Here is a 20,700-nt window from a genome sequence, read left to right as displayed (position 1 = left end):
TCCCCACATACCTAAAAATAAATGAAAATGCAATTGAGTTCTATCACCAAATTAGCTGTTGGGGAATAAAAAAAAAAAAAAACAGCAGATTTAAAAATCATTTCTGTCATCTCATTACCCACAGACCACAGTTTCCACAGTCCAACCTCCTGGCATTTTGACTAGATCATCACAATTCTGAAATCACTGTTTGATCTGTATTTCAATAACATGAATAGTCTCAAATGCAAAAAGGGAACATTGTTCTGCATTGTATCTTCAGATTTCCTTCCAACTATCTTTGGAGGTTTACCAAGTAAATGTGACTGTCTTGTGACTCTCTCTATTAGTGTACCACTTCATGTGTGTCTTGAGATTATAATAGAAAACATCGCTTACATCAAGAGACTTGTGACTAAGTTTTAAAATCCCAAAGCTCTCGTGATTCACAAGCCTTGCAGTTAGTAGACCTGAGGGTGTTCAGTGTTGAGGAAGCCCCGGTGTGGTGGACACTGTCCCATGTGACCAGCAAACAGGCGACCCATTCACCAGGGATGAGGCCACCCATTCACCAGGGATGAGGCCACCCATTCACCAGGGATGAGGCCACCCCCTGCAGGCTTTCACCCCTTTCTGTGTGGGCTCTGAGGATGTCAACCCCCCGTTTCTTAGCCTCTGCTGCGCAGTTGCTTCCTAAGAAGATCCTCCCTATGAGGTTGGGGTCATTCAATCAAATAATCCTACTGAATAATTCTATCCCCCTTTCATCTATTTGGTGGCAGCAAAAGCATCAAATTCCAGGCCCTGACATAGAGAATCTCACAGTCTAGTAGGCTTTTGACATCTATCCCATCAAATTGCCAGAGAGTCAAAGTTTCATTCTAACCTCATAAATAAACTACTATTCAAGGGGCTGTGATTTTCAAGGCTGCTGAACAAGACTGATATTCTCGAGATTTAAAAAATGAACGCAAAACAATCAAACAAAACATTCTAGGTTGTTTACTGAGAACGCCTTTGAGTAGAAATGCTCTGAACAGTAACGTTTCCTGAGAGTGAAGTGGAAATAAAATTACCACGAGTTGATCTGAAAATAATCAGGGTTTGGATAACAAAGCAAGGTTCACATAAATAGACAGCTCTGTTATTGGATGCAAAGGGGAAGGTTACGCTTCCTGCCAGATAGGATTATTGGCACTCACGTCGCAGGAGAAGACCCTGAAGGTGGAACCTTTTTGGAGGGCCTGAAGACCACAAGGAGACCTGTGTGCTTAGGGCAAAGTGAGCCCAGGCATTATGGCTTGGCAGTGAGGGGAATTCCTGGAGCAGAGCAATGAATTTGGCTCTTTCCCTTAGAGACTGTGGGTCTTCACCATAAACTCAGATGACTTCAGCAGCCAGACCGACAGCATAAGTGAGTTCGGGAGAAAGCAAATGTCCCTCTGTATCTGTATTGCATTTTATCAGGTTGGATAGACATACATTCCTAAAAATATTTTTATGGTCACAAAATGAATCCTGCTTCATGATGATCAGCAGTAACTCACCTGGGGTATGAATGTTGGATACCAGTCATGGGTCCTAGGGACACCGGCCCTTCCCAGTTCGAGCTTGGTGGCCACGGAAGAAGAACGCTCAGTGTCTAGAAAATTACGTTTTGTTGAGAGAAGCTCAAGTTGGGACTTTTCAATGCTTAACTATTGATTTTAAAATTCTTTACAACTCTCCAAGGAAAACGCATCTGTACCTCAGCTGTCCCACAGTCAAATAGTGTGAGGCTCTGGGCCACTCATTCTCCAGTGACCAATGGGAGGCCAAAGCTCGAAGAAGCCCCTGGGAATCCCAGTCCCGACTAGAGGCTGCAGACAGACTCTGGCCCTGCAACCGAGTGCCAAGGGCAGGATGCTTCACTGTGACCGAAGTGAGATTCGTCCAGTCATTCTGTCTCACTAATCACCCCCCAAAAGTGACAAAGCTTTACACACTGAGGAGCCTCTCCTTCCATTTGCTGTGGTCTTAGTCTCTTTGGGCTGCTGTAACAAAATACCACAGCTGGGTGGCTTATCAACAGCAGACACTGATGTCTCACTGTTCTGGAGGCCGGACGTCCACATCACGGCACCAGCAGACTCATATCTGGGGAGGCCTCGCTTCCTGGCTCATAGACCATGCCTTCTCTCTGTGTCCTCGCCTGGTAGAAGGGGCAAATGATTTTTCTTTGGGGACTCCTTTATGAGGGCACTAATCCCATTCATGAGGATTTCACTCTCATGACTGAATCACATCCTAAAGCCCTCCCCCGGCCAGCACTCCCATATTGGAGGTTAAGCTTCAACCTGTGAATTTGGAAGAGGCACAAACATTGAGAACATGGCGGACCTAAAGGCCTGATACATTCCATGATGTTTTTCCAAGCACCACTGATATCTGCTTCTCCAGGAGGCCTATCCTGACTACCTTCACTTACTTTTAATTTTATAAATATGTTTCATAGAAACCCGACTATCATATTTGTCTCTATTTCATTTCAGCTCTCTAGTGATTTTATTTTATTATTTATTTATTTATTTTTTGACAGAGTCTTGCTCTGTTGCCCAGGCTGGAGTGTGGTGGCACAACCTCAGCTCACTGCAGCCTCCGTCTCCCAGGTTCAAGCAATTCTCGTACCTCTGCCTCCCGAGCAGCTGGGATCACAGGCATGTGCCACCATGCTCGGCTAATTTTCGTATTTTTAGCAGAGATGGGGTTTCACAATGTTAGCCAGGCTGGTCTTGAACTCCTGACCTCAGGTGATCCTCCCACCTGGACCTCCCAAAGTGCTGGGATTAGAGGCATGAGCCACCATGCCCGGCCTCAGCTCTCTAGTTCTATACACAGACAAACTATGTTTCCTCACTGCAGACTACCTTCTACTTAATTTGAAAGAAGGCCTGCGTGCTGAGTGGGTGTGTGCATGCAGTGTTTCTAATGCCCACGTGACAACTCAGAGTATACAGCTCCGCACAACAACCCTGAGTGATGCTGTCAGGGCCATAGCAACACAGGCACAACTATGTAAGGACATCATGCCCTATTGAAATAGCCAAGCATGTATTTTTTTTAGAAAAATAAATAATATTGTGAAAGTATCATATGCCATGCAAACATAAATTGTACTCTACTATGATACCGATGGGAAATGCATGACTTTCTTTCATCTAGGACCAAAACGTTTGAAGCCAAAACAAGTTGTTATTCACGCCACTGGCTAATGAAATTAAATGCAGCAATTAGCCCATACAGGTAAAACTGCAGCTTTCCTGCTAACATTCTAGTGATCTCTAGACCTATGCATAATAGGTGCATTTTATACATTTTAGAAAATTTGTTGTTAGTTCATGTCCTAAAATCTGATCATCATAATTCAATTGAGGCCATCCGGTAACTCTGAAGATAGAAGTGTGATTTTTAAAGATAAAGATTTGGGGCAGGCAAGATGATTCTATCCTTCTTCAGACAGGACTTCTGAACATTTAAGTCTTTAGACTATGGCATGCATTGCAACCTCCTCTTAGACAATGTGCAGTGGTGAAGGAATAGGCTCTGACCTTTGTGTCTGAGTTGCTAAGCTTCCCAGGAGCCGACCCAGCTTCACCGAGGACGCATTCACACCCAGATCTGCCACCAGCGAGGGATGCACCTTTAGGAAACTACCAAATCTGTTTATGTCTTGCTGCTGAATGGGGCTCCTTGTGTCTGTCCCATGCATCTCACATAACTTTAAGAAGAATACATCAACGACATCACACATGGAGAACAAATTGGTCTTAATTAAATCCTCTTTTGGTTTCACATGCTCCAAGGTATTAAAACGTAAGAAACAATATTTTTATAAACCAAAAAACAAAGTTGTAAAGGAAGAATCATGTGCCTATAAAGGCCAATGACAAAGATAGACAATTTGTTTGGCAATAATAATGATAATAAATTAAAACCCTTATCATTCAACACATATGAGTATGTTGACTTTGGGCCAGACATGACGACATGAAACCACAAGATATATATTTATATAAAAAAGATAGACAGTGTACTAATTAAAGTTTAGTAATTAGTAGATTATTAGTATAAACCGTGTGTCACTACATTAAATAAGTAAGTCATTGGCTTTAGTATGTCACGTTACTTTGAATACCACAAAGGTCTTCGTGTGGTCAATGTAGGCCCACCTTTATCAAAATTTCTAAAGAAATGTAGTGAAGTGTTTCTAAATAGCAGAAATCCTGTTGCAGTAACTGCAGCTGCTGGCGGCTTAGGCTCAGTGAGTGTTTGGTCTGTAGCAGTTTTATTATTAGGAATGACAGAAAATAAAATCACCAAAACCAGTGATGTGCTATGTTGTGACAGTCTCTCTCCCAGCTCTAATCCTGAGGCTGACTCAGAAACCGATTCTAATTCTGGTCCTAAACCTCACTTATTCATTTATTAAACTGTTTTTCCTATTAGCTCTCTGTTTCACTCCTCCCCCTACAAGAACGTTTCTGTCAAATGTTCAACGTCTGCTAACATCAGGCACCATCACGTCTTCAGTTCTGGCAGCCAAGACCCTGGGACGAGGCCAAGAGAGTGGAAGGAAAGCCTCGGGGTTAGAGAAGGGAGTCCCTGGGCAGGGCCCCACCTGACATGACCCAGGGATAGGACGCCATTCCCACCCCCTGGGATGCCCCAAAGTGGCTTCCCAAGCTCCTGTGAACAGAGAGGAAGAAGCCACTCCAGAAAGTCACATGTATGGCAAAAGGTAAGCTTTGCCAAGTCACTTGTGAGCGCGTGTGCTGGAGACCAAATAGTCTAAGCTGCTGGGGAAGTGGAGGGAAAGTCCTGCCTCACACCCGCCCACGGTCTGCTGTTACCACGTCCACATCAGGTAGCTGGCGTGTCCCTGTCAAGCACAGCATTTCTAACCACGATGCCAAATGCACCAAAGCACGGGAGCCAAAACCATTCTTGTTGGTGAAGCTGCCTCTTGAAACCGTTTTTCAATATTGTCTCATGAAAGCAAAAATAAATTATCCAGTGCAAAGTTTTTAAGCAATGTCCACAGGTATGACTTCCATACCCCAAACATAGCCTAGGGAAGCAGGAAGGGAGGGAGGGAGAGGGGGAGGGAGGGAGGAGAGAGGAAGGGTAATGGAGAGCAGGACAAAGTGGGGAGGAGAAGGAAGGAAGAGGGGTAGAAGGTAAAGAAAGAAATAAAGAAAAGAAAGGAAAGAAAGAGGAAGAGGGAGGACGGTGAAGGGGAGGGGAGGGAAGGGGAGGGGGAGAAGGAGTAGGGGGTAGAGAAGAGGAGGGGGAGGGGAGGGAAGGGGAGGAGAGGTGTGGAAAGGGTGGGGGGGAATGGAGGAGGGAGAAAGGAAAGGAAGGGGAGAGGAGGGGAGGAAAAGGGGGATGAGGAGGGGAAGAGAGGGCAAGGGATGGGAGGGAAGGGAAGGAGGAGGGAAGGGAGAGGGGGAAGGGAAGGACGAAGGGAGAGGGGGAAGGGAAGGACAAAGGGAGAGAAAAGAGAGAGAGAGGGAGGGAGGAAGGAGAGAGGGAGAAAGAAAAGAAGGAAGGAAGCAAGGAAGGAAGGAAGGAAAAAGAAAGAGAAAGAAGAGAGGAAAGAAAGGAAGTAAGGCAGGAAGGACAGGAAAGGAGGGAAAGAACATGAATTGTATCTTATGAACAGAAAATATAAAAGTGATTATTTTCAAGTAAAGAAGTACCTGCAGTGCAGGATGCATTGCGTTACTGAATTCTAACACATATAAATAAGATTTCTTAATGTCTACATGCACATTATTTGGGTCGCCACAGATACCTCAAATTTAAATCAAGCTAGCTCTGCAAATGATTTTCTACTTCCTGCCAATCTCCCTAAACGTCATCCATGACAATACCCTGCCTTTGTTTTGGTTCTAGAGCTTGGAGGTTCTAGAGCATCAGGACAGACAGAAATACGGAAGGAAAGCTTGAAGAATGTGTGGATTTCAGCTCTTCACCACCACAGAACAGCAGTATTGTGAGGCAAGCGCTTTCTGGAGCACTTCGTACACCACAGGTTCATGATACATATTAATTAATTGTGACATTTGTGTTTTCAATTAAAAATAAATATAGTCGAATTAGTCTGTATCTATGCTCTCTGATATAGTAGCCACCAGCTCCCTGTGTCTACTATTTATATTTTAAAAATTCAAATTAAATATGATTTGAAATCCAGCCCCCCGCCATCACACTGGCCACACTCCCAGTGCTCAAGGATAAGCTGCTGTTGGCTGCCACGTGGGACAGCACAGGGGTGTCCACCATTGTGCAGGGTCTGCTGGGCAGCCCTAGGCCAGGTCCTGCCCATCCAGGTCCCCTGCAGCCCACAGGCCATTTAATTCTAACACATATAAATAAGATTTCTTAGTGTCTATGTGCACATGTAGACTGTCTTCGGACGTTGTACTCCCTATCTGGTTTCAGGCTGTCTTCGGACGTTGTACTCCCTATCTGGTTTCAGGCTGTCTTCGGACGTTGTACTCCCTATCTGGTTTCAGGCTGTCTTCGGATGTTGTACTCCCTATCTGGTTTCAGGCTGTCTTCGGATGTTGTACTCCCTATCTGGTTTCAGGCTGTCTTCGGATGTTGAACTCCCTATCTGGTTTCAGGCTGTCTTCGGACGTTGTACTCCCTATCTGGTTTCAGGTATTCTTATTTTTCATAATTCATCTCTCTGCTATTTTAGGATAAGGAACAAATGCACCCCTGGGAGCCATTGGGGTCCAACCAGAGGTTTCCTCCCCTCTGAAGAGAGAACTTCTGGGTTGCCTGCAATTCCACCAGGTCTAGAATCTTTCCACCAACCACCCCTTGCCAGGCTTTTTATCCATAATTAGTTTATCGATCAATTGGTGTGTTTTGTTTGCTTGCTTGCTTGCATTCTAATGTTTTCTGAAAGCCCAAAGGTATGTTTCAGATCTGGATTCTAGATCTAGATCTGGGTTAGATCTAGATCAGATCTAGAATCATAGATTCTAGAATTTATGAAATTGAGTTGACTCAGTTGTGACCTCTTTCTTTCCTTATGATTTAAATAAATAATTTACTTAGATAAGCATGTGTGCTGCTTAGGATTTTTGCCATGTTTTACATGAGTGACACTCCTGTGAGGTAAGGGATTCCTTCCTCCCTATCAGGCCACCAGGCAGAAAATGCATGGTAAGCGCCCCCTGCTAGGGCCTGCATAACACTCCTTTTTGACTTTCATGGTAGAGTCACATACATTATTCAAAGCCTCTCCTTGAAGATCTAGGAGACCGACTCTTTGTTCTGGTTATTGCCTTTTACAGATACATGCTGCCAAGCCATGAGCTCCTCTCTCTTCCTGTTGGCGAGTATTTTCATCTATTACCTTCATTCACTGAGGCAGTGTGAGGAATTAGTATCACAAAGAATGATTGGTGTGGGAAATGACATGGAGAGAAGGAGGAATGGACGCTGACCATTAACGTAGATGGTCTTGTTTTATTTTTCTCTTTGGTTCCATTTCTATCTCATCTAGAGTTGCTGGGTTTAGAGATCTTCCTTTCCAATTTTCTTTAGGAAGAGTTGTGGATGTGCGTGTGAGTGTGAGTGTGTGTGGACTCCAGCTTTCATTCATAATTTTGTCTGTAAGATAAAATGACCTTGGCTGGTTTCTAGGGCTTCCTCTATTTTCTCGTCTACTACTACTACTACTACTAATAATAATAATTGGCTGGGTGCGGTGGCTCCCAGCCTGTAATCCCAACACTTTGGGAGGCTGAGGCGGTGGGATCACTTGAGGTCAGGAGTTCTAGACCAGCCTGGCCAACATGGTGAAACCCCATCCCTACTAAAAATACAAAAATTAGCCAGGTGTGGTGGCACACAACTGTAATCCCAGCTACTTGAGAGGCTGAGGCAGGAGAATCACTTGAACCCAGGAGGCGCAGGCTGCAGTGAGCTGAGATCATGCCACTAAACTTCAGCCTGGGTGCCAGAGGGAGAATCCGTCTCAAAAACATAAAAATGAAAAAGAGACTGGATGGGTGTGGTGGCTCACACCTGTAATCCCAGCACTTTGGGAGGGGGTGGTGGGAGGATCTCTTGAACCCAGGAGGTTGAGACCAGCCTTGGCAACATAGCAAGACCACATGTCTATTTTTAAATAAAACATTTTTGTAAAAAAGATGATTAAACAGTGTATGTCTATTAGCTTTCACCTCTAAAATATCTGTTATGTTATTAAGACAGCAACACATGAATAAGGACACCTCGTGGATGAACGTATTAACAGTTGCAGATGGCTGCAGCCAGGACATCCCTTCCTCATGCGACTGCGTCATCTTTATATAAAGCGTGTGCTTCACTGACCTGTGAGTGCCATGTGGACAAGGGAGATTTAGGTTAAGCTCCCTACCTTCTTAGCACTTAGCCTAAGGCTCTCACCCAGAGCCATAATGATATATTTCATTTAGAAATATCCAAAGCAAACACATTTCCTCTTCAGTTAGGAGTTTAGTTCCTATTCCTATCAAGATGATAGCTGTGGAGTAGACTCTATTAACGTCCTATTCTAGGGATTTTCATAAATTTAGTTTGGGAATGCATGGCTTTCAATCCTGGAAGAAGTTTTCTTTTTGTTTTTGTTTTGTTTTCTTTTGCTTTTTAGATGACAGCTTCAGAAAATAAATTAGTTGAAAAACTAAACAGCACTATGGACAGACTTTTTACAGATTTGTCCAATAACTGTTCACACAGACCCATGTGCACACACACACACAAGCACATGCACAAACACTCACACATCTGACTGCCCCAGGCAAGGCCTTTCCTCGCTACAGACCTCTTTCTCTTTAGCCACAGTCTGGAGTGGATCCCACTTCCTCAGAGTTCTCTCCTGGCCCATTCTACATTAAACCCTTCCTGGGCTGAGGCTAGTAACAGCTGCGGTCAGAAACATCCCCCAGGCCGGGCCAGGCTTACGCCTGTAATCCCAGCACTTTCGGAGGCCAAGGCAGGTGGATCATGAGGTCAGGAGTTCCAGGCCAGCCTGGCCAACATGGTGAAACCCCACGGTGAAACACAAAAATTAGCCAGGTGTGGTGACATGTAACTGTAATCCCAGCTACTCAGGAGGCTGAGGCAGGAGAATTGTTTGAACCCAGGAGGCAGAGGTTGCAGTGAGCCGAAATTGTGCCACTGCATTCCAGCCTGGGCGACACAGCAAGACTCAGTCTCAATAATAAAGAAAGAAAAGAAAAAAGAAAGAAAAGAAATATCCCCGAAAGTCCCTGCGTGTATTCACATTATTTGCCATCAATGCATCAGGGTTTTACAAATGGCTCTTTATTCTATTAGTTTATTACCGTGGCCTAACTACCTAGCCTTGCCAAGCACTGGTGTCCTTATCTGTAAAGCTGGGATAGCATGGTACTTACTATAAATGGTGTTAGGGGGATCAAACGCAGTCAAGCTCAGTTCTCAGCACATAGAATTAAAACTGTGAATAAATCATTATTGTTATTTTATTAGTGACAAGTTTTCTAATCTTGAAAGAAAATATAATGCTTTGATTTTACAATAGTCTGCTGGTTACATTCTCTTTTTTACACCCAGCTCATGACTGTACTGTTTGTTCCATTTTGCTTATTTCAGTGAGGTGGTTGGGAACAAGCCTGCATCTAGATAGCTTATGTTCGAATCCCAGATGACTGACTGTATAGCTGTGTTAGTTAAAGGAAGATGGCCACAATAATAAATAAACTCCAAAATCTCAGCAGATCCCAACTGTGGAATGTATTTCTTGTTCATATCGTGTCCAAAGCAAGGGCTCTTAATTAGCAGGGTGCTTCCCTCCAGGCAGTGATTCAGGGACCCAGGCTTTTTCCCTCTTTTCCTCTACATTGTCCACTTGTGGCTATCAACTCACCAAACTCTACTACACCAAAGTAGCAGATCAGAATAGCATATGAGGCATTTCTCATGGGGGTTTTGTTGGCCCAAACCTGGAAGTGGTACACATTCCTTCTCCCTACATCAAGCAGACAGGGCCTCAGTCCTATGTCATGCCTAACTGTAAGAGGTCCTTTGAATACTGCTCTGGGCTCAGAAAGATGAAGAGGTGGAGTTGGTGACCATCGAGCCACTCTGTCTGATGAAGTTCTCTGGAAAAATGGAAATGGTGCACGTCTTACTATCCATAGCACACAAGCACACAGAGCAGGAGCCTCTCCCATCATGGCTTTGATTAATTTACTTCCCTGAGTTTTCACACCTATAAAATAGGGAATAGCAAAAGCATGCATTTCAAAAAGCCATGGGAATTGAATGAGTAACACTGGCAAGTCCTATTAGTTTTATAATTACATGACATCGTGTGCTCCTTTCCAGAGCGTCTGTCTCTTTAGCTAATAGCGACCATGCTCAAACCTTCTCAGCCGCCACTCCAGGTGAAGCAGCATAGTTAAGAGAAAGAAGCACATTCTAAAGTCATGCCTGGGTTTCATGCCTGGCTCTCCTACATAGTTTTTGGGCTATGCTGGGCAAATGATGCCATTCTCCATTTGCCTATCTGTAAGTTGGATTGTTTTCAGGATTAAATAAGGTGGCAGACATGGAGTGCTCAGCAGGGGCTTTAGCTGCTGCTTCTCACCCCACACAAAAGCCCCTTATCCAACCTCAAGTCACAGGGCCACCTGAATAAACTGATTCTTCACTAGTAACTGAATCAGCCACTTGGGAATTAACGCCAATATTGGCCACTTCGATCAGCATCACTCCTTATAACTCTCTCACCACAGTGGCAATGACTACGCTTTTAACCTCTGGGAAGCTCAATATTTTCACCAGGATCTTATGCTTTGTTATTTTTGTCCTAACATTTTTTCCCTTAATTTCCAGACTCATAGCCCATGAGCTACCAACTGAGGGTGGCTCCGCAGGACTCTTGATGATTTCTCACGGTCTCAGGTGACGTGCAAAACCATCCCGGTTGTCAGTGCTGCGCCCTGGTCTTCCTTTCCTAGAAACCTACTACGGGAATCCCTAGGTCCAGATTCTGAGAAGATGGAGGGAGCAGCTTCACTGTACACGAACTTGGGGAAGCTAAAGGGCAAAGTGAGGGGCGGGTGTGCTGGTGAAGATGAGGGTGAATCTAAAATGAGAGGATAAGGTACCCAAAGTATGAGCTGGGGAATAAAGACCACTTTCCTCCCCCAGGCACTGAACTAAATGGCTTTAAGGACATATTAAGCAGGTCTCCAGGAGAACTGTTGGGTAAAAATCACCTAGCAGGCTTAGTGCAGTGGGGTCTGCAATGGTCCCCCACAGCCCTCTTCACCACATAGATCACTTAAGGAAAATCAGACACATGCTCAGGCGTCCGGCTCTGCCAAGCAGACCTCCCATCCCAAGCAGGGAGAAGTTCAGCTTATTAGTAAGCAATTATTAATGACGTGAACAAATACTTCTGTGATGAGGTAAAGCAAGCGATCTATCAACTCAGAATGTTTTAGACAAATTTTCGTGATTTTGATGCCAATGACAACAGTCTCATCATCAGTGTACCACACGTCATTACAGGTCATAGTTGCATCAGTTTGAGTAACAATTACTTGATGTCGTGCATTTGAGATAAGTGTGTTTTACAGTGGAATTACACTGATAAGGTTGTATCCAGGAGGTGGTGCTTTAAGATTCACTTTTGAAATTTTTCTTTTATGACCAAATGACCATTTGCGTTGTGGTGTTGATGATACAAGGTACCAGATGAATGTCTTTCTTCAGCAATGTGTTCACTGTCAACATGAATAAGTAGCTTTCACATACATGCCATTTTAAAAATTCAGCTTGAGGCCAGGCGTGGTGCCTCATGCCTGTAATCTCAACACTTTGAGAGGCCAAGGCGGGCGGATCATGAGGTTAAGAGATGGAGACCATCCTGGCCAACATGGTGAAACCCCATCTCTACTAAAAATACAAAAATTAGCTGGGTGTGGTGATGCACGCCTGTAATCCCACCTCTTCAGGAGTCTGAGGCAGGAGAATCGCTTGAACCCAGGAGGCAGAGGTTTCAGTGAGCAGAGATTATGCCATTGCACTCCAGCCTGGTGACAGAGCAAGACTCCGTCCCAAAAAAAAAAAAAAAAAAGAAAACAAAAATTCGGCTTGAAATTTGCCTCAAGAGCAAAACAAACTTACTCCAAAAGGTTTGGTTCCAAAATGTACATGTGCCCTCGCTTGCTATAAACCGTAAAATGTTGCTGCGTGGGTGCCGGCCCCATGGAAGAGGAAGGAAACAACTTTCAGAACACACAGTAATAAGCAACTTAAAATAAGCCTGCGAGTGAGATCTTCCCTGCCTATTGCTGGGAAGTAAAATAAACATTTCCAATAGAGGAGAAAAAGCAGAAGTCTTCATGAAGACGGAAAGTCCATAGAATAGATCAGGATGAGGCTCACGACTTTGGACTCAACAAAGCAATAAATGTCATTTTCAGGTGGCCAAATGTCATTGTGATGCTGAGACATTTGAAAATGGCATGAGCCATTTATTGTAAATATATTACTGCAAAGCCACAAATGCTATTCCTGCTACAGGACAAGATAAAAGCAGATATAACAAACCAAGCTAAAGGAAAAGCTATACTTTCTCCCTGTGGACGAGGCATTGAAAGCTGATGTTATTTTGAGGGGGGCGGATTCACAGTACGGTTATCTGGCTATCAGCATCTGTCTTCTCTCTTCTTCATTTCACCAACTTGGACTGGGCCAGGTGCCCCAATTTACCTTAATCTGTAGGCTCCAGTCTAGGTCGTTCTTGGAGCATTTTTATTTTCCTCCAAGAACCTGGGGATCTTTTCAGGCTCTCTCATCTTTGATTATTGAAAAGCATAGGGGTCACTATGTGTTGGGCGTGATCAGCCATTTCTAAAACTCCAGCCCCCAAGACATTCACAGGCTTGAATTTCACCTCCTTTACCTCCTTTATTGGCAAGTTCTTGATTCCGTCTAAAACCAAATCTGATTTGTAAAAGATGTGGTGTTGCCAGCATTAAGATGTCTGTGCAAAGGTGAATGAGACTGCATGTGAGTCCTGCATCCCCACAGTGACCAGCTGCACAGTGGGCTGCCGGGAACGATCAGGGTTGGCCTCCCCATACCCAGCTCACTCCTCCATCATTCAGGAACTCATCCGTTTATTGTATTAGCTAAAGCTTTAAAGATACAAAAACTGGGCCCCTTCCTTGAAGGAGTTCACTTTTTAGAAGGAAAGTTAAACATTTCACAAAAGAGGTAAAATAACCAAAGCCATCCACAGTCGCAGATCCAAAACGTGAACGCAGGCCGGGCTGTCCCTAAAGCCCATGCCCTTTCTCCGGACACTGCTGCATGTGAGGGACGTGGGCCCAGGGCCCAGACTCATGATATCACATCTGGTGATTCAATGACTTCCAAAGAGGTTAAGGCAGGCCCTGGGAGGTTGAATTTGGTGCTCCTAGGTCAGCTGCGGGAGGGGCACCACGGTCCAGACTCAGAGCCTTTGATCTTATTTATGCAGGTCCCCAAAGGAGGCATCTCATTAAGTCCTATTACCCATAATCAACTTTCAAAGAACTAACTTTGTAAAACATATCAAAAGTACATGTGTTTTTCCTAAACTTTGGACCTCACAGAGAGCAAGGACCAAAGATTTTGTAATTGAGTTATTGACGTGCACCTCGGCACCGTTTGGAGGAGCAGAGGCGTGGGAACGTGACACGCCATCAGGCGCAGCCTGTCCCTTTGGAAATCGAGACGCTTGTAGGATTAGAGACCTTCGCAGTCACTCTGCCATCCCATCTATCACTGTCCAGTTCTATAAACTGGAATAAGAGGGAGCTGAAATACAAAAGGGTTACCTTGGAGGATGTTTGTAAGAGTACAGCAACCAGTGTAAGAAGAATTCCATATTTCTCCATCACAAGGTTTTAGCCAATATCTCTGGAAGATAATCAAGGTCAGCCTTAAAAAGTAAATGTGAAGAAAGACACTTTTCACTGAGATCTTCATTTCCATGTGTTCTCTGGCCCCCACTCCCAGCTACCCTTCAGCCTTCTCATTCAACAGTCTTTCCGAGGACACATTCCTGCCCCAGATTCTGGGAAGAGGATGCAGCTCACATCCAGGAGGCCCCAGGACACTCAGGCCCCCACCCCGTGGCTCAAGTCTGTGGTCACTTGATTTGCTTTTACCGTAATCTTCCTAAACCCAGTCCCCCGTGAAACCGTCTTTATCTATGTATTTTTTAAATTCATATGTTTGTACACCAGTGCTCTTTTACTCACTGTGTTTAGATTTCAAAATAATTTGAGGTGATCTAAATGTATCAGTGCCCCCTCCCATAAAGATCCATTACCTGCTTTCCAGGAATTATCTCAACAATAATATTCAGGAGGGGCAGAAATGACCAGTTTTTTCTTTGGCACTGACTCTGTGTGACTCTTCACATATACATGATCTTCAATCCTTACTACCACTTGGTAAGACATGTGCTCCTGCTTTGCAGGTGAGGAAAAAATAAATGATGCACAAAGAAATGAGGAGAATTTTCCTAAAATCTAACAGACCTCCCACAGTCCATGCAGGAGCAAGGGTTCCAATGCAAAATCGTCGTTAGTGAATCTGATGAAAGTCAAGTCAGAAACCCTACCTGATTCATCTTTATTCCCCAGGGATGACATACTGTCTGTTTGCAATATTTTCGAAGATAAAGAATATCAAACTGAGAAAATCTGGTGGTAAATATGTGCTGTGCGTAAGAACTATTTGTTGCATTTTGAGTCAGACATATAAGTGGTGTCTCTTCCAAATGAGCTGCAGTTGGTTTACCCCATTTAATTGTTTTTTCTCATCCTAAAAATAAACCCATCCTTCTGATTACTGAGACTTTACTTGAGATATCATGGTAACCCCCAGGTGATTTCTAGGACATAAACCAGGCGTCACAACCCTTGGTGCCAACAGGAACATGCAGACAATGGGTTTAGGTGGACGGTGTGTGCAATGAAGGGGGGAGAGCTTGTTCTCAGCTCAGTGATGAGGATGGCTGTGAGTGACAGTCCAGTGAGGAGGGGTTAAACCCTCTCCACACGCAGCCCCCCAGTGTGTGTGCCAGATACAAAAGTTTCTCAAAAGAAGCCAGAAATCCATAGTTTTATGTGAAATTTCATGGTTTTTTAAATGTTGGTATGTAGCTTATGTTTGAAATTCTGCCTGGGAATTTTGAGTACTGCTTTGTTCATGTCATAAAACCCAAGAAATTAAATGGCTTTACGCTCAAAGTTATATAAAAAAATAACAATCATGGTTACATGGCTTTACATAGGGGGCACAATGAAAGGTTTTACATTTATACTCTCTTCTTTTTTAAAATGTTACCAGGACACAGAGATGACGTTTCTCTGCAGACCCACCAGTAGCACTGTACCGTGGGTTATATAACTTCTACTAGTGGGATGGGAAAATAGGAAGAAAGGAAATACCTCCCTGTGAATGTCGTATAAATTTACGTCTACACAGAAGCCCCGGACCTAGGCAAATCCAATGACTGTTCCGTTTTGCTTGTTCTTATAGGAAGATTCATGTGGCCCAGACCACACTAACTTCCCCACAGTCAATTTCTTCTCCGCTCAGCTGAACTCCCAGCACTGCGAGCACAGCTGGCTCCCAGCACCCATGGATGGCCTCCGCTTCTCCACCGCACTTCAAAGAGGCTTTTCCATTCCCTCATTCAAAACTCCATCCTACTAATCCTCCATCTCAACCAGGAACTTGGCTTCTAATTTCCCTAAAATAAAGATGACTATATAAATAAGTAAATATAAGATGAAATATAATAAAATTCTGCTTGGGACGATGATATGAAAAGTGCTCTTGGAGCCAACAATTTGAGACCAAAACCCACATCTGAGCCTGGCTTGAGAGCTACCAGTTTGGAACTTGGATGTGGGAGCCATGGAGGGCCTCCTCACAGGTAGCTCATTTTTATAAAACTTTGTTCCCAAGGGCTCCTCTCTCAGCAGTGGGCTGGCACCCTGGAAGCCAGCATTGGCCATCTGTGGTTCTGGGTAGCTTTTCTTGGCTGTTGGACAGGAATGCATGGCCGGGTCTGAGCTGCTGACCCCACAGAGACACTGTGACAAGTCCTCAGGCTGCCCAGGCAGAGCCAGCACCCTGGGCAACGTGTCTTCCAGAATGTTTGGACGAGACACTAGGCCATCACAGACATTTGTAAATCTTGTTGTTTTATCCAACGATAACACAGAGCAAAAATATTAATGCCATAATTTTAAAAACACATTACTTTCAAAATGTTTTTAATTGACACATAATCATTGTCCACGTTATTGGGGTCCACAGTGCTCTTTCAATGTATATCATACATACAGACCAGATCAGGGTAATTAGCATATCCATTATTCCCAACACAAAGAAATAGGAAGTAATACTTTTTATACCTAATTACTTCAGCAATGATTGGACTGCACTGAAAACAAGCATGAAAATGCTCAGCTCCAAAGACATCTATGCCGAAAGTCAAGGGAGACTAAAAGAGGAAATGTCGAGTAAAACTTCCTTTTCAACCAGAGCAACACTACAATACATACATGATTAAATTAAGTCCCTAACACATTATTTAGGCTTTAATAATAGTAGAGCTGTTTCTTTTTCCTTTTTTTTAATTTTTTGTCTTATAGTTCAAACTGCCAAATATAGTGGCAAGTTGCCAGCTTTTGTTAATTTCCTAATTGATTACAAGATATTTTGCTTCCTTAATTAAGACTTGAGAGAATATAAAATCAGATAAAATGCAAAAATTTTGCTCTCTTCTTTTAATATGAGATTCTAGTTACAAAAGGAAATGATTAAGAAAAGGAAATCAAAGGCCATTTAATTCCATTTAATTTAGCGAATATTTTTCGATTACCTGCCATACGCTTTCGGTAATGAACACTGAAGTTATAAAAAAGGATTAAGAATCTGTGCGTATTTTAGAGTAGTTTGTAACATAACAATGGAGATCTCTATTTCAAAACTACTGAAAAAGTCATATGGAGTGCAATACTAGTATTGTGGTGTTTTAAAGATCAGAGACAAACTACCTTTAATGTGAAGGCTGCAGGGATATTAGAGGTTCTGAAGTATTTCACCATGGCAGCAAGTCACTGGGAAGAACGAATTCGAAGGTGAATAAAAGTCTTAAGCCTGTATTCTAGGGAATGGAGGAACTATTAGAAGGAGCAAGAAAATTGGGGGCGGGGGATGAGGAGGAGACCCTGAAGGAAAAATGTGGCTATGGCTGTGGTGAGTCTTACGGTACAAGCAGTCACACTGTGTGGATCTCAAACAGATCATGAAATGCACACCTTGAGGTCCAAGAGCCCAGAGCTGGGAACGTGCATTTAAAAATTGTCAAAGGTACTGTGGGCTGGTCGTGCTGGCTCACGCCTCTAATCTCAGCACTTTGGGAGGCTGAGGAGGGCGAATCACCTGAGGTAAGGCATTCGAGACCAGCCTGGCCAACATGGTGAAACTCTGTCTCTACTAAAAATACAAAAAAAAAAAAACAAAAAAACCGTCTACAGAGGGAAGATGACTAAAGTCTTCTGCCTGAAAGACATCCCGAGGTCAAGGAAGAAGGTTGAGATGGAGAGCAAAGAGCAGCTGAAAGCCAGAATTTTGCAAAACCCTATATTAAGAATAAGGAAAAAGAAAGCCATAGGAAGCAATAAAAGCCAAGGAGAACCATAAAAATGTATTTTAGTAAAAACCTTAAAAAGGAAAGGTATCCAGAAGAATGTTGGAATCAAAGTATGTCTAGTAATGTCAAATTTACAGAAGTTCAAAGACAATGAGACTGGCTTGCTTTGGGGAAGAGAAGGTGCAATTTGATAAGTGATTTTCATAGAGTCACAGGATAAAAAATTAGTTATCAAGAGACAAATTATGAATAAAAGAAGTGGCTGCAGTGAGAAAATAATAGCCAAATGTATTGTGGAGGTGGACATTGAAGAAAGCTTGTTATATTGAACGATATAAAAACTAAAGTCAGGAAAAGATTTTTTCATTTTTTACAGGGGAGGAATGATATAATGGGGAAAAAAGAAAGTACGAAAGGGAATAATAGGTGGATAAAGATTCTGAGGATGAAGTACACTTCATAAAGAAAATATAGGTAGAAAAGAGGAGGATGATTTCCTCTAAGATGAGAGAAAAGAAAGTGAGTAGTAAGAGAATTAGGATACAGAAAAAAAAAAGAAATCTGAAATAGAGATGAGAAAAGCCAGCAACATTAGGGATACACTTGATAAAGGAATTGAGTTAAAAATCTTAGAAGTATTGAGGTGATGAGACTCACGGATTACAGGGCATGAGGAGCAGGCAGCTTGAGCAAAGCAAAGGGTTTTTGATCACTGCCATCAGAGTATGATAGGGTTTTAGCAAAGAGTATCAGCAGGGGCAGGGAGAATACATCATTGCATGTGTTGCTATATTCTCTATTTTATTTATTTATTTTTTTTGCCAAAGTGTAAATGGTTTAAGAATAGGACTAAAATGTATATTACCCAGAACACTTAGCACAGTTGAATGCTTATAATAAATCTTAATTAATTTTATCTGCTAAAAACCTTGTAATAAAACTAAACACTTTCCTACTAAGATAAGAACAAGGCGAGAATGACCCTGCTCACTACTCCTTTTTAACATCATACTGGAAATCCTAGCTAATGCAATAAGACAAGAAAATGAATTAAAATATATTCAGGTTTGGAAAAAAGAAATAAAATAGTTTTGCTCACAGAGGAAACAATTTTCTCAATAAAAAATCTCAAAGAATGAAAAGCAAAAACAATAAGAATAGCCTCGTGGAACTAATAAATGATTACAGCAAGGTTTCAGAATGCAAGATTAATATACTAAAATCAGTCTAGGCACAGTAGCTTATGCCTGTAATCACAGCACTTTGGGAGGCTGAGGCGGGTGGATCACCTGAGGTCAGGAGTTTGAGACCAGCCTAGCCAACATGGTGAAACCCCATCTCTACTAAAAATACAAAAATTAGCCTGGCATAGTGGTGAAATATATATATATATATATATATATATATATATATATATATATATATATATACACACACAAAAATCAAATCAATTGTTTTCTGTATACCAACACTGAAAAGTTAGAATTGGAAATTAAAGCCACGCTACTATTTACCAACACCAGAAAAAAAAATACTTCAGTATAAATCTAACAAAATATTTATAAGATCTAAATGAAGAAAACTATAAATTGTCATGAAGGTAGTCAAAGAGGAGTGAAATAAAGGAAAAGGTATCCCATATTAATGAATAGAAATATTCAATATTGTTAAGACATCAGTTCCTCCCATATTAATTGATAGATTTAATGCAATTCCTATCAAAATCCAAGCAAGTTGTTTTGTGGCTATCAACAAACTGATTCTAAAGTTTATATTGAAAAGCAAGAGTCCCAGAATATCCAACACAGTATTGAAGAAGAACAATATTTAGGACTTAAAGACTTACTGTACTGAGTTAAAGGCTTACTGTAAACTACAGTGATCAAGACAGTGTGGTATTGGTAAAAAGAACAGACAACTAGATTAATGGAACAGAAGAGAGAGCCCTGAAATACACCCACACAACTGAACCTTCACAAAGGAACAAATGCAATTTAATGGAGAAAGTTTGGCCTTTTCAACAAATGACACCAGAACACCTGGACATCCACATTCAAAAAACAAATCAAGACACCAACCTTACATCAAGCTCTATCAGCCCATGGCCTGCAGGCCCCATGCAGCCCAGGACAGCTTTGAATGTGGCCCAACATGAATTCATAAACTTTCTTAAAACATTAAGAGATTTTTATAGCAGGGCACGGTGGCTCACGCCTGTAATCTCAGCACTTTGGGAGGCTGAGGCGGGTGGATCACAAGGTAAGGAGTTCCAGACCAGCCTGACCAACATGGTGAAACCCTGTCTCTACTAAAAATGCAAAAATTAGCTGGGCATGGTGGTGGGCGCCTGTAATCCCAGCTACTCAGGAGGCTGAGGCAGGAGAATCCCTTGAACCCAGGAGGCGGAGGTTGCAGTGAGCTGAGATCATGCCACTGAACTCCAGCTGGGGCAACAGAGCGAGACTCTGTCTCAAAAAAAAAAAAAAAAAATTAAGAGGGTTTTTTTTTTTAGCTCATCAGTTATCTTTAGTGTTAGTGTATTTTATGTGTGGCCCAAGGCAATTCTTCTTCTTTCAATGTGGCCCAGGAAAGCCAAAAGATTGGGCACCACTGCCTTACACCATTCACAAAAATTAACTCAAAATGGATAATAGACATAAATGTAAAAGGAAAACTTGTAAAACTTCTAGAAGATGATATCACAGAAAATCTTCAGGCAGATGGCTATGTAATGTAAATTAATGGCCACTGAGAATAGACACCATGACCACCATGTCTGAGGGATGCTTCGGTGAGATCTGCAGCTTCAGCTTTAAATATCCACTAGGGTAATATCCATATTATTACCCAAATTTGTTGCCTTGAAGTGCACTTTGTCTATAACCTAAATATTTCCTTCTACATTTTTAATCTGTTTTCATTTGTACTCTTCCTATAATAAGCCTCCAAGCATGTTG

The 20,700-nt window shown here is 42.5% G+C and overlaps 1 annotated feature.

The window, feature by feature from the left end:
• Positions 4,666 to 4,745: an enhancer, noted in NCBI's record as "active region_2921". NCBI's record gives its function as "activates an Ori minimal core promoter by ATAC-STARR-seq in GM12878 lymphoblastoid cells {active_cell/tissue: GM12878}" and the evidence as "EXISTENCE:reporter gene assay evidence [ECO:0000049][PMID:35858748]".

The sequence above is a fragment of the Homo sapiens genome, chromosome 10 (genome assembly GCF_000001405.40).
Source record: "Homo sapiens chromosome 10, GRCh38.p14 Primary Assembly".
Lineage (NCBI taxonomy): Eukaryota > Metazoa > Chordata > Mammalia > Primates > Hominidae > Homo > Homo sapiens.
Note: the sequence above shows the minus strand (reverse complement) of the source record. Positions and strands in the feature narration are given on the sequence as shown.